The sequence below is a fragment of the Homo sapiens genome, chromosome 13, assembly GCF_000001405.40.
Source record: "Homo sapiens chromosome 13, GRCh38.p14 Primary Assembly".
In the NCBI taxonomy this organism is placed as follows: Eukaryota; Metazoa; Chordata; class Mammalia; order Primates; family Hominidae; genus Homo; species Homo sapiens.
Genome location: NC_000013.11, coordinates 106,494,551 through 106,508,751, shown reverse-complemented (window position 1 = coordinate 106,508,751; position 14,201 = coordinate 106,494,551). Strand labels below are relative to the sequence as shown.

The following is a 14,201-nucleotide window of genomic DNA, read 5'->3' as shown; positions in this document are numbered from 1 at the left end:
ATATGAATGGTCACCGACTTAAAATAGTTCCACTTAAATTTTTCAACTTTCTGATGGGTTTATTGGAGTATTAAATGTATTTTCAATTTAATGATATTTTCAGCTTACCTTGTGCTTATCAAGTATCAAGACATAGCCCCACCTAAGTCATGGAGCATCTGTATATGGGTTTTTATTCTTGTTTAGAATTGACTTTTTCAAGTGACCTATTTCAGTAATTAGCCCTGGGCCTGATTTGCATAATGAGATCTCCTAATCTTCAAGTAATGCAAAGATGGAGATATTATGGCCATGTGGTCTGAAGAGACCTTTTCTTTATTATGTTCAGATCTTTAATTGCCTTAAAAATAGAGTAGCTAATTTACCTAACCTCTAGTTATTTTATTATTGTCTTTAAAGTTTTTTTTAATGTTCATGAAATAACTGTTCTGAAATTGCCTATTTTCAAGGGAAGCTGTGTCTTAGACTTACTAAATGCTCCAGTTGATACTGGGAAAGCCTTCTTGTGTTCGTAGCCTTTATCCGTAGAGTTTTCTTTGCAGCATTTTCTGTGCCTGGTTTAGTTTCTTTTCAGAGGCGACACCCAGAGCTGAATGAGTCAGCAGGTTTGGTGTGTCGACCCTTTGCAACAGCTGTCCTTACGAAGGTTCTGTGGGCTGGTTATTCTACCTTCGCATAAAACCTTGCAAAATAACCCACAAAGAGGTTTTCGTCACACTACCAAAATCATGTGAGTCAGAGATGGATGAAAAATGAATGCCATTGTGTTCATACTTTTCCAGTGAACAGTAGCTACAGCAGAGCTGTTAGACAAAGAAAACCGTATTAATGAAGCGCCTCCCAATTTAGCTTCATATGGCTTTTGCATTATTTTGCTGCAAATCCATAGCTAAGACACATCTTGTGGCATAGTCCGTAAGTCATCTTTCCGAAGGACTGTTTGATTAAAGGTTGTTCTGTGAGATCCACCCTGTGTTGTTCATGGCATCCTCTTGGAGGCCTCCCTCACTCTCCATGCCTTGGCAAAGTCTTCCTTAAGGAACACTGAACAAGTCTGGAGAAGCTGCCATTTCTTAGGGCCCTCATTGGTTCAGTTGTCTATAGCTTTTTATTTTTTATTTTTTTTTTAATAAAGAGTATGTAAAATTGGAAAGCTTCACAAACAGCTTTGCTATTTTTTAGACATGTACTCCACTTCTAAGCAAAATCACAAAATAAAGTAAAATGCTTCCACAAATATAATGAAACAATATTCTTAAAGAATCAAAGCAGAAGAACTTCAGAGTCTGTTGCTTATGTTAAGCATATATTTGTTTTCTTCTCTGCTTTTGATTTACTTATTTCTGGGGTGTAGGTTTGGCAAGTAGTACTGAAACGTACTGAATGCACTGTTCTTTAGCAAGATAGTTACAGGAGCTTTCAAATGTCCTCTTAACATATAGATTTCTTTTAGAATATAGAATAATGTGTGGGCTGTATAAAGCGATTATGTGCTTTATTTGATGAATTATTTATGTACGATAAATGTAGCAAAAGCCACATTTCCATCATTAAATGTAATCCCATTTGGTGATACAGCAACATCAGCCTGTCATTTGGGTCCTCTGATTGAGGGGTGAGGATTTCTGTTTGATACCTTGTGCATAATGGCTGCGTTCAAGCATTTAAACTCATTTTTATTTCTAACCTACAGCTGTCATCTTTGTAATAGGATATTCATCAGAATCTTGCCAGAGACTGTGCATTTGGGATCTTGGGGGATACAGCACCACCACCACCCTCCCCCTGTCCAAGAGAAACAGATCAACATCTTAGGTTGAGAGTCTGGGGTCTGGAAGACCCGAGTTCCTGAGTGCCCTTTGACAAGTAACTTAACCCCTGTCTGCCTCAGTCTCTTCATCTGTAAAGTGGGGATAATGACAGCACCTGCTTCACAGGGTTGATGGGAATCCAGATGTGGTGGGATATAGAAAATGCTTATTACTTCCACCTTTGACACCAAATACATATAACTAAGAGTTAACTTTGGAGCAGGGGAGGAAGTGTGAGGCTCCAGGCTGGAGGCAGACCTGTGTTCGGCTGCAAGCTGGAGAGGATGGACCCCAAAAGCTTGGCTGATTTGAAGTCCATCCATAAAATGGAACTCCAGAGAGTTTACACGTTTCAGTAATGCTGCATAACTTAATTATAAGATCTTCTCTCTTTGTCTTCTTTCAGTGTTATAAAAGCTCTTTTGTCCTTGAGCTTCCTTTACCAAGAAACATGCATTTATGTATCTTTTTGTTCATGGAATTGCCCAAGCTTGTTAGCAGATCCTTTGTAAGACCCAAAAGAGACAGACAGGGGAGGAGTCTTCAGATACATATAATCATTTTTCCCAATTTCCATGTTACCAGCCTTGCCAGGACTTTTTCTCAGTTCCCTGTTACACAATGAAAATAGTGTCTCTTTATTGATAATTTTAGTAGCATCCTAATGTGGTATAAATCGTCTTCCAGAGAAGAAAATGTGTCAGGGTTGCGTTATCACTGAGGCTAGCTGGGAAAGTAGATCAGCCCATTAGTCTGATAATTCGAAGCGTTGTTTCTGTTATTTCTGAACATCATGTGAACTCCTTTTCTGGGTGTATTAAAGGTTTTCCCAGTGTGTGTCAGTGAGACTCCTGATTGAATTTAATATGAATAAAGATAAATTCTTTACATTTAAGGATTAAAGTCTCAGCTTCTGCTTAACTTGAGATTGCACTGAGAAACTCCTGGCTCTCGGGTATAGCGGAGTCACGACCTGGGGATGTCTGTCCCATATGGCTCTGTGTGTAAGAAGAAAAAGCTGCTGTGGACGGAGACTCTGTTCACATTAAATGACATCACCTAAGCCATCATGACAGCAAGAATTATTTAGGAATTGCTCAGAATAAAACTGCCTTCATTATTTCATAAAATGTATCTTGGTATCTTTAGCACCTTATTTATGGCTTTTTAAAGGTTCACTGGGATTTATAAATAATTGGACAATGCTAGAGACCTAGTACAAGAATGAAAGAGGACAGGCTTCTTTCTTAATAACCTTTAAACATTCATCAGGAAGATAAAACTTTAAAGCAAAATAAAACACATGAAAATAGCCAAGATGCACAGACCAGACAAGCAAATACTACTTTAACTTATTTGTATAGTTCTTAAGAGTCACATTTGTTCCTGAAGTTTCAAAATCTCGGGCTGAGTGTTTGATCACTTAGGGAAGTGTTGTGGCCTTCACATACTCTTGTCTCACTTTGAAGTCTAGAAACACAGGTCTTAGAGCAATTTTTATCACTGTGAGAAAGCTGAAACTTAGTGTGAGTAGCTTAGTACAATTCAGTTGGCCATCAAATGTCAGAAACAAAACTCAGTCCAGGGCCGCTGGACCCTTAGGCCGGCGTTGTTAGTTTACAACAGTGCCTCCTGGGTCCAAACATCTAAGTGCACATGTAGCAATAGTAAAGATAGTATGTATGCATACATAACACATATGTAGAGACAGCAGAGTATACGTACACACATGTTGCATACATAGCAACAGCAGAGAAGCTCATGAACTATAAAGGATGGACTGTATGCTTGTATCAGACATTTTGGTACTGACGCTTTGTCATATATTGTGTAACATATAACCAGCTTGCAATCATCTGCCCCCAAAGTTGAACTAAGAAAATCCTACAGGGTACTAGGAAAGGAAGGCCATTGGGAAAAGGTGGTTATAGTGGCAATTTGTTAGCTCTTATGAATTTTCTTTTTCTTTTTAGACATACTCTTAATTCCATTTTTTCAATAAATCTATACTATTTTGTGTTTTTATGTTAGCAAGTACTTTAAGCCCCTCAATAGAAAGTTGCTACATCATATAGTGATTAAAAATAAAAATCTCTCAAACATACAAGTAGAGGTGGTATGAGACTTCAAATTCCCTTAGCCAAGTACAAGTGCAGCAGTTTTGTTGGCTGGCTGGCTGCATAGAAGGACTGATGGATTGGCAGACCCTCAAGCTGGAGTGTAATTGATCTCATTACAGAGGAGCCAGGCTGGGTGACAGTTGTGCTTTGCAAGTGGTTTTTTGCATTGGTGAAGTAGCCCATTTTGTTGTTCCTGATGTTAAACAGGGGATGAAGGTATTCTTTTATTGGCACAAACGCGGGAAATTGCTCTGGATTCTTAGAGGATAGAACATGTCCCCTGGACGGAATAAGGTTCATGTGTAGGGCAAATTTAGATAGGGGCACCTTATTGGGGTTACTACTGGTCTCTAGATGGTCAAAGCAAACAACATGTCCATCTAAGCTGTGATGTCCATCTAAGCTGTGTGTGTCCATGAGAGTGACGCATTTTCTCCTCTGCAGTGTTGTTATATTCTAAACTGTCAGCAGACATTAATTCGGTCGCTGGTGAAGTCCCACCGCCTAGAGATGAACTCTGCCTCCGATGGATGTTTTCCACTTCAGTGCCACTCGTCTCGCAATTACTGGGTCATTAATATCATTGCATGCAATTAGTGACAGTAGAAAGAGCTAGAGGGTTGTGGGATGTGCACCCTCCCCACCATGAACTTTTTACTCTGACCCTTTCCCAGCTAGACCTTTTCGTATCTTGGCAAGGATATTTTAATGATTGAGACTGTCAGAATCTTCAGAGCAGGCACTGGATTATGTGCTGGAAATAATTCACTCAAACACCTGCTTCTCCATGGTTCAGAATATTTTCATTAGATATTATCACTATCCCTTCCCTGGGAAGTTTCATTTTTAAAAATCTGATGCTTAAGTACAGCTAATATAGACAATAGGGAATTATGTTTTATCTTTAGAACTCTTACATTATTCTTTTCTTTAAAAATGTGAGCTGAGTCATTGCTATTGCAGTGGTCATCTGGCCGCCTATTTTTAAAACACAATTCCTCTATCTTAGTAGATTTTGGCCCATATTAAGCATATCAAGAATGACTTTTTTTTTTTCAAGACATGGGGTTTTATTGGGGGCTTATATACAAGGAAAGAGAGAGTCCAGTGGCAGTGGGCTGGACAAGATATCCACATGGCCCTGTGGCAGTGAGCTGGGCAGGAAAACTGCAACTGCTTGCAAACAGCATGTAGTTCATCTATAGCATTTTCACTTAACACCACCCAGCTAATGACTTCCACCTGGCAACCTTCATTTAATCCAGAACTTAGGACCTCGAGTCCCTGTACGGCCCATGTTCCACAGGATGGGCCGAGGGCTCAGCTGTTCCTCATAGACAAGGAATGACTCTCCACATTGGCCACTCCCGGATTCCCTAGCTCAGGACACATATTCAGGTGTGTCTAAGGCTGGCTCTTCTATGTGAAGTTACTTATTCTTTTACCATTGACTCTCATGTTCCCACTATATTAAGTTTTTCTGAATTACTGTGGCAATAAGAAACGGTCCCTTAAATTATACTAGAAGAAAAGCTTTTTTTTTGTTTTGTTTTTTATTTTGAAATTATGTTAAATTTTTTTTCTTAACTGAGAGATTCCACCTGCATAAATCGTCATAACTTTTAACAGTAAGATCTTAGACTTAGAAAGTGATGTTTTTCCTCAACAGAATTTATTAAAAATCAAGACACCAAGCTGTTCCAAACAATAGTTTGAGGGGAAATAAAATAAACAACTCCATAAATAATCTTATGTTGTTAAACATGTCTCTAGCAAAACAAACAAACAAAAAAGTCGGGGGTTGGGGGAGGTGCAGTTTATTGCCAGTACTGTCTGGTCTTTCTCAGAAAAGCGTCAGTGTACATCACTGAGCCTGGACGGTATGTTTTCTTGATCTATACCCCCTATGTGTACATGTGCTTGCACGCACACACATGTAGACACGCACACATGTGCACCTGCCATCACTTTCTGCTCTTCCGTCTTTTCACTCTTGAGTGTCTGTAGCCAGTAGCTTTCCAGGTCTGTATAGTCAAAGATACCTATGGCCCTGAATGTCTTCACTGATTGCTATTTGACATTCATACGGTTTTTAATGGTTAAAAGGCTTTATGCGAAAGCTGTGATAGAATTTCTCCTGTTCTAGATGTGGTGTTTATTGCTTTATTTTGTGACTTTTCTCTCAGTAGATTGACCTTCTCCCTCAGTGTCCAAGCCTCGCATAGCATGATGGCACCTGTAAACTCAGTTCTGTATCCTGGTATCCTTTCTCTTCCCAAGTAGAAGCAATTAAGTAATATATGTCATCAAAACCTTTTAAGTGCACATACAAACAAAATCAACTTACCAAACTGCTTCAAAGTTGTTCCATGTTTAACACTCTTCTTTCTGAGCTCTGGGTAGAATGTCCTATTATTGTTCATCATGAATATTTGAAATTAAAGAAATAAAACTGTACCATTTTCTTTAAGAGCATCCATTTGTACTTGATAACATCTTCAGTCATATTTCAATGCTGGCAAAGAGGAGGGGAGTTCTAAACTGTGACTCAATTTTAGAATCTACTTTTTCCAAATTATTCTGTTTAGTGCAGAAAACTAATTAATAGTGTTGCATAGAAAAGTCACTGAAGCTAAGCCAGTTATTACTTCTTAATGCATGATTTACTGCTTTAAGTTTTCAAAACACAACCATAGCAATGTGGTATTAATTCAAGTGATTCTTCCTATCATATTGAACGATATTTTCACGGGTGAAAAACTCACACATCCTACATCACTGATAGTTTATACAGTGTTTTAGCTGTGGCTCCCTGCATGCAAAATAAGAGTTAATCAAATGTCAGTGAGAACCATCTCATCAAGTAGAGGGCTTGTTTTGTTTAAATTAACTTTGCTAAGTATAAATTTCTTCTTGAAAATAAATTCTGGGCCGGGCGCGGTGGCTCACGCCTGTAATCCTAGCACTTTGGGAGGCCGAGGCGGGCGGATCACGAGGTCAGGAGATCGAGACCAAACTGGCTAACACTGTGAAACCCCGTCTCTACTAAAAATACAAAAAATGAGCCGGGTGTGGTGGCGGGCTCCTGTAGTCCCAGCTACTCGGGAGGCTGAGGCAGGAGAATGGCGTGAACCTGGGAGGCAGAGCTTGTGGTGAGCCAAGATCACACCACTGCACTCCAGCCTGGGTGACAGAGCGAGACTCCGTCTCAAAAAAAAAAAAAAGGAAAATAAATTCTTCTGTATTTTTCTTTCTTCAAGTGAGGCCATTTAGGGGAAAGTATACCATAAAACTTGCTCTAAGATAAGGCAAATTTGGTATTATAGGATGAAGTGCTATGTGATTTGAAGTAATGCTGAATTTTTTAAATATATTAAACTAAACAAGAATAATGAGGCCCTCGGAAAGTCATGATTATATTTCTCATTTTTCTCATTTTAAAGCCACAGTGAAAAACACATAAAAGGAAGAAGTTAGAAAAAAAAATGAATGAAATTCTTTTTTTCCTTTTGGCAAATTAAATAGATGTTTCTGTTTCAGAAGATTTTATTAATTAACTTTAAAGAAACAGTCATTTATTTTTGGCATTCAGTGAACACTATCATTTCCATGTTTAGAACTTTTCTTCTAAGTTAGCATCTTAAAAGATAACTGTGAAACTCAAGGCATTCAACTACATTAATTTGAGTTTCAGAAATTGAATTCTTGTTTCTAGAGTACATAGTTTGAATTGATGTCAGGGTGTTAAATAGATAAATCTTAGCTTCCTAGGTTGTATATTCACACTAATTATTTTTTTATCAGCCTTCTTATTTTTCAACTTACCTTATTCTTTTTGTTTTTTTGACACTCAGATTTGATAGCCCTGTGGTAGAAGAAAACAGTAATACAGTTTGGTTTGTTGTTGTGTTTGTGTTTATTTTAAAGTCACGGCTTTGCTTTCCATGTTGTTACTGGATTATGCTTTTTTTAATTCTTCAGTTTGCCAAGATAACAGTCTTCCGATCTTCAGAAGTCTGTATCAAGCTTAAGGAAACTGATGTGTAGGAAGACTCGCCTAAGAAGTCCAAATTAGCAAGGCTAGCATGTGAGGACATGCTGGAAAAGAATAGTTCCCATAGATATTGACAGAGAATGTTCATAAAATGCTACTTGTTTTGTGGTTACATGAGAGTAACTTGTGTCCAGTGCAGCTGTATGTAAGGGCAACGTTTTTATTCTGACGACTCTGTGGTTTTCATGACCCTGGATGCTTATCATGTCTCTCTGTTGGACTTCTTCAACGGAGTTGATACAAATACTTGCTTCCAAGTGTCCATCTGCCCTCTCCTCCATCCTGGCCCCATACAAATACGCTACATTTTTAAATAATTTGAAATACCCTCAATAGTATTTATATTTCCTGGTGCTTCATTCTTTCCATAAGAACTGTGATACCATTATTCTGTAGGATTTTTTTGTGCTTCCCCGTTTCACATCTCTGTGCCAGTGAGACCCATATATCGGTGCAAATCCAGAAGTTTGATTGTCCATCTGATTAGCACACTGTTAGCAATGTGGTGGACTAAACACAGCCAAGATGTGGGGCTGGAGCTTAGCCTCCTGGGAGCAGAGCGGTGAACATCAGATGAAGACATGTGAAAATGGAGTACTACTTCCTCTTCCTGGGGATGGGCTAAAAAGCACAGCCAGAAATATTCTTGCCCTTCCAGTCTGCTTTACAGTTACTCACTGGTTCTCTTTTTTTTCCTACTCAGATAACCAGTATACTCTTCCCAGTGACTAAGAACTGCAGATAAGTATAGGTGCAAATAGATGGCAAACCGCAGATGGCAGCTGTGTGGTTTCAGATGTGCTGCAGAACTTTTAGACGATGTGAACGCAAGGAACTTTTTTGCTGAGCAGTAATCTCTACCCACTGGAAATTAGGCCCTGGGGGGAACAATGTAGTGACTTCTATATACTTACTACATGCAGTTAGACCCCTGAAGCAAAAGCTTTTAAAAACAGGCTGTAAAATGCCCATGTATCTTTATTAAGCCTATTTTCCAACTGGATAGAGAAATTTTCTGGTAATTTTTAAATTTGTAAAGTCTATTTTTTTCCTGAGCCAAGGGAAAAAAAATATCTGGGCCCTAAAAGCTTAGTTATAACAATGTTATTTTTTCTATCTCTGAATGATTAAATGTGATTTCATTTATGTAGCAATACTATGATTGTGGCTGCATTAGATCACGCTGATAGAAAGATACAAAGAAAAACTAAGTATAATGAACTAACAATTTATTTTCACTCTTTCTCTAAGTTAAAAATTCCCAGTACATTCAAATGAACAATGAAAATAATTGCAGAATTGTCTCCTGAAATGGAAATAGATTTTTTTTCCCAAGCATTAGCAATTTCTTGTTATTTTTCAAAATCAGCCACTAAGCCTTTCAGAGCTTCTTGGTGACTATTGCAGGAGAAATCAGAATATTAATCTTGTGGTTTTATTTCAGAGTTCGCTGCCAGGAAGGAGGTATAATTGGGATAGGAGACTTTTTTTTTTTAGCTGTGTCACTGTTCAAGGAGGGGGGTTTGGAACCTCAGCATAAGAATTACACTCTGTGATGAGGATGTAGCAGGGGAGAAGAAAGGTGATTTTCACTATGGGAAGCTATACTTACATCAAGTATAAAATAGACTGAAGTCATTTTGAATTACGTTATACTTGTAAAGTTTACCTCCTGGAGTTTCAGTTAGTACCAGTGTACTAACTGGGTTAAAACAGTTCATGGCACCTTAGATCATTTCTAACTCATGGCAAAAATCTTTCCTGGTGGAACGTGTAACTGTATTTTAAATGCCCCTTTATAAGCAACCAAGTATTTGGGATGTTATTTTGATATTAGTAGTGAATTTTTCAGTATCTTCCAGTACCCTTTGCAAGTCACAGGTTGACTTAAAAGGAAAAGAAGCAAAATGCTGAATATAGCAGAAAAACTGTCTGCATTCAGACTGTTCAGCCCACTTTTGCTCCCCACGTGGCAAGCACACTCCCCCAAACAAGCAATAGCCTGTGGCTTCAGAGGAACCTACAAAGGCAGCATCTGTAGATTTTTCCTTCTTCAACTCTAAGACTTGAATGTTTCCCTCTTCCCCACACACTTTTTTTTTAAACCAAGAAATAAAAAAGTTTTCACTCTTAAAGGTGCAAAGCAGTTTCATTCTTATGCAACACAGCCTTCCTCCTACTGTCTTATAGTCTGTGGATGTTAAATTATAGATTCCAATTGAATTTTAATACTCTAGAGATTTTACATTTGTGGTTGTCAAGACCCCGTTTTGGTAAACCTAGGGAGCTCCGCACAAAAGCATTGATATTCAGAAAAGGCACTGACCTACAAATTAAAAGAAAAAAAAATCAAATAATGTGCACCTCTTGTGCTTCCAGTTTGACAAAGCAGAAGTCATCAGCAGTTTCTCCCTCTGCAGACGCAGTTCTCAATTCTATTTACAAGTAACTGCTCTACTGTGCCTGTTTTTCTCTTGCTGATACTCATTTAATTGTTTTTCTTTTGGATCTGAATCTTTGACTGTCTTTTCCCCCTCAAGATTAAAATAAATACATCTGTATTCCTCCCCTTTCTTTCTGTGCACTGCCCTTCAGATCTCATTTTGTCATTTTTCAGCTTAGTGTTGAAACTTTTAGCAACAAAAAGTCAGTTACTTACTTTGAGTAAGTAACTCAAAGTAAGTTAACTTTGAGTTTGAGTGCACTTTTGCGTGTAGGTTCATTTATGTGCTTGTGAATTTAAAAACATTGGGATTCCACCTGAATGAAGTAAACCAAACATTTTAAACTATCAGCCAGATAGAGACATCAGCCTTTCACTTCTTTCTATATGCAGACATATCCTAATTTTTTAGAAAAATCAAATAGGAAAATTCTCAACAATTAATTGAAGATTATAGCTCTGCTCTGAAATGGTCCAGAAATAGGATCTGCTCATAGAAACTCATAGTTTGAAGCCTCTGGGAGGAAAGGATACTTTAAAATTTAGTCACATATTTGGAGGAGGGAAAAGGGAAAGAGCAGAATGAAGAACTGAAAAAAATCACACACCGGGGCCTGTCGTGAGGTGGGGGACTGGGGGAGGGATAGCATTAGGAGATATACCTAATGTAAATGACGAGTTAACAGGCGCAGCCCACCAACATGGCACACGTATACATATGTAACAAACCTGCACGTTGTGCACATGTACCCTAGAACTTAAAGTATAATAAAAAAAAATTTTAATAGCCCCATTAAATAATTAAAAAGATTTTTTTTAGATTCACAGAAGTGTACAAAATTTTTAGGTTTTTTTTTTTTTAAGCTGTCTGCTGAATAGTTTCTTAATGGTCTACAATGTTTGTATCTACAAACAGATACTGTCTGCTTCTTACTACCCTTCCAAGACAAGTATTATTATGGCAATTATTGCCCAGTTTCCCGGGAAAAATTTATCCACAGTTACAGAAGAATGAGATGCAATTGTGAGACTGTAAAGTTTAAGCAAGCACTCAGAGAAGCACAGTGATATGTATGCACAGAAGAGGCAGTCTTTGTTTTGAGGAAAACAGTGAAAGTAAAGTTAATTCAAGACCACAAAGACAAGTAAATAAGTGCCTTATTTTTGTAGTTAATATAATTTCAGTGGAATGCATATTTCTACCATAAATGCATATAGAACTTGTTTGCTGACCTACTGTTTGGAAAACAAACAATCCCATTAGAAGAATGTCTTTGGGATTTATTTTTACCAGAAAATCAATCCTTTTTTCAGTCCCTTGCAAAGTACAGTGTTACAAGCCAAGACTTTGATAATCAGGTAGAAAATGGATTTAAATTGCAGAAATGTATATGAAACACTTTTGTTCCTTGCCCCTTGAACTTTAGGGGAATGAAAATGTCTAGCACTCTCCACCTTCTTTTCTCTCCTGGAACTTGAACTGTAATTCAAAGCCTGTTTCTCATTAAAGTACCTGGCAGCCTATCTCTTTACAGCTTGAGTTACAAAGCTATTCAGAGACCTCGCTGGTCTAAAGAGACAGAACAAGGATGTGTTTAAATAGAGCATAGGCTGTTGAAAAAAAAAATGCTGAAAATGGTAAAATGATTCTGTCCTTCCTTCCACTCCTCACTGCTGAGGTGGAGAGGGAATTCAGTTGGTGAACACCAGCAAGTGGCTGGTAAAAGTCCCCACTTTCTCTCCAGGGCTGCCACAGGACCCAGAATGAGTGGTGGGCATGTGTGTGAACCCTCTATTCAGCCAGAGTTTTCCCGCAACAGGTAGTTTGGTTGAAGAGGTTGACTAAGGTTGACATTGGCAGTAATAACACGTATGTTCTTCTGATTTACAAAACGATGGAGGAAAAAGGGGAGATTTTGAAGACCTGATTTCTGGTATACTTCTTAAGCATGCATAAGGCTGAAAAAAGAAGACAAGGGTTGTGGGAGGCTCCTGGTCTAGTGTTTACAGAACTTGGATGCTTGACAAACAGAGCGTCAAGCTAATTGTTCTTGAAGCAGGAAATCTGCAGTGGAGGAAGCAGGTGTGGGGGGATGATTACCACGTTTGGAAATGGCTGCATTAACTATTTTGCTCTTCTGAGTTTGGCCCCAAAAGAGTCCATAGACTTTTTGAAGGATGCCATCCCTTTTATTTATAGACTAACATTAAATCAGTCATTTGTGAAGGAAGGAGAAAGTGCCTAAATAAATTTGGAGTCAGATAGCATACGTGCGGCAGTGTTTCCGATATCCATTTCTCTTTATTTCTTTTTCTTTTTCTTTTTGGCTTTCAGCATCCCCATACTTTCAGAAAACTTGTGACTAAGAGTGAATTCTTATTTTTCAAATTGTTTTCAGACATTTCATGTTCATGTAAACTTGGCTTATTGATTTCCTGATTTTTCTTTATTTTTTTGTTTTGTCCATTTTATTTTTAATCAGCTACATCAAATGGGTCTTTGGAGGGCCTGGATAACCAGGAGGGAGGGGTGTGCCAGACAAGAGCCATGAAGATCCTCATGAAAGTTGGACAAGGTAAAGACCATCTGCTGCTTCATGACGCCACTGTGACCTGGTGTAGCCCCCAGCTAGTATGGTGCTAATGTTGCCGATGCCCACCTTCATTCGCTCTTCTTTTTAGTTTTCAAAGCAAACCCTTCTGCACTTTGAGCCACTGACAGATTTCCTCAAGTCAATGTACTAAGCTTTTATTGGAGATCTAAGAGTTAAGATCAGCAAGGTAGAATGTCTATTGCCATAGATAGATAGATAGATAGATAGATAATAGATAGATAGATAGATAGATAGATATTTCTTTTTAAAAAGCAAAACACTTTGGTTCAAAATCAAAATATCCAGAATGAAAACTAAAAGCTTGTGCAGTTTTGCTCATTTCTGAATCTTGACTACAGAAGAGTTTTGTTCATTGTGACTTTTCCAATATAGATAACCTATTGTGCAGAAAGAAATAATTATTCTTCTAATTAAAAATTGGTATAGTAGTCAATCAACTTGCTCAGTTAAATTGAAATGTCATCTGCAATGCTTTGCCTGCCAAATGCAAGAATCCCTATAGTTTCCACAGATGGCCTCACGTTCTAAACCTCTGAAATAACTAGTATAACCATTTTGTTTTAAAAGAAAAATTATATTCTTGTATTTCACAGTACTTTGCATAAAGACTCTTATGTTCATTGCTATTCATGCCTGTTGAAATATATATGCAGCTCCTAAAGCTAGATATTGTCAGATGTCTGTGCCGTAATTAATCATTTGTTTTTCATATAGATGCAAGTTCTGCTGGATCAACCAGGAATAAAGATCCAACAAGACGTCCAGAACTAGAAGCTGGTACAAATGGAAGAAGTTCGACAACAAGTCCCTTTGTAAAACCAAATCCAGGTATAACAGCATGATCTGTGTGTATGGAGGTCTGTGGGTACCACATTCTTAGTAGTATCTTAAAAGGTAGGGCAGAGTCTAAAGACTTCTAACCAGTTAGGATTAGCTGGAAGTTACAGTGATCAGGAATCTTTGCTGTCAGTGAGTCATTATTAATTACACTCAATAAGAACAAAATAACTCATTCCAATGAAAGTCATATATTCAAAGGAGTAGAGTTCATGAGCTGTAAGTGCCAGTTATTAGAACTACTCTGTCAGGCCAAAGGTTTCATTGGCTGACATTTTATCAAGCTGGTTGTCAACTCCAGCTTAAAGCTGATGTTAATGT

The 14,201-nt window shown here is 38.0% G+C and overlaps 1 protein-coding gene across 5 annotated transcripts in view; it reads left to right on the top strand.

Moving 5' to 3' along the window:
- EFNB2 (ephrin B2) overlaps positions 1-14,201 on the top strand; it is a 45,918-nt gene that overhangs the window by 26,911 nt on the left and 4,806 nt on the right. For 2 of the 5 annotated variants that reach the window (NM_004093.4, XM_017020406.3), the window contains exons 3-4: positions 12,912-13,004; positions 13,758-13,871. In NM_004093.4, coding sequence (NP_004084.1) covers positions 12,912-13,004; positions 13,758-13,871 — 207 coding nt within the window. Of the gene's footprint in view, positions 1-1,693; positions 2,710-12,911; positions 13,005-13,757; positions 13,872-14,201 lie in introns of those variants that run through there. The other 3 variants (NM_001372056.1, NM_001372057.1, NM_001372058.1) reach the window with 3 other exon arrangements.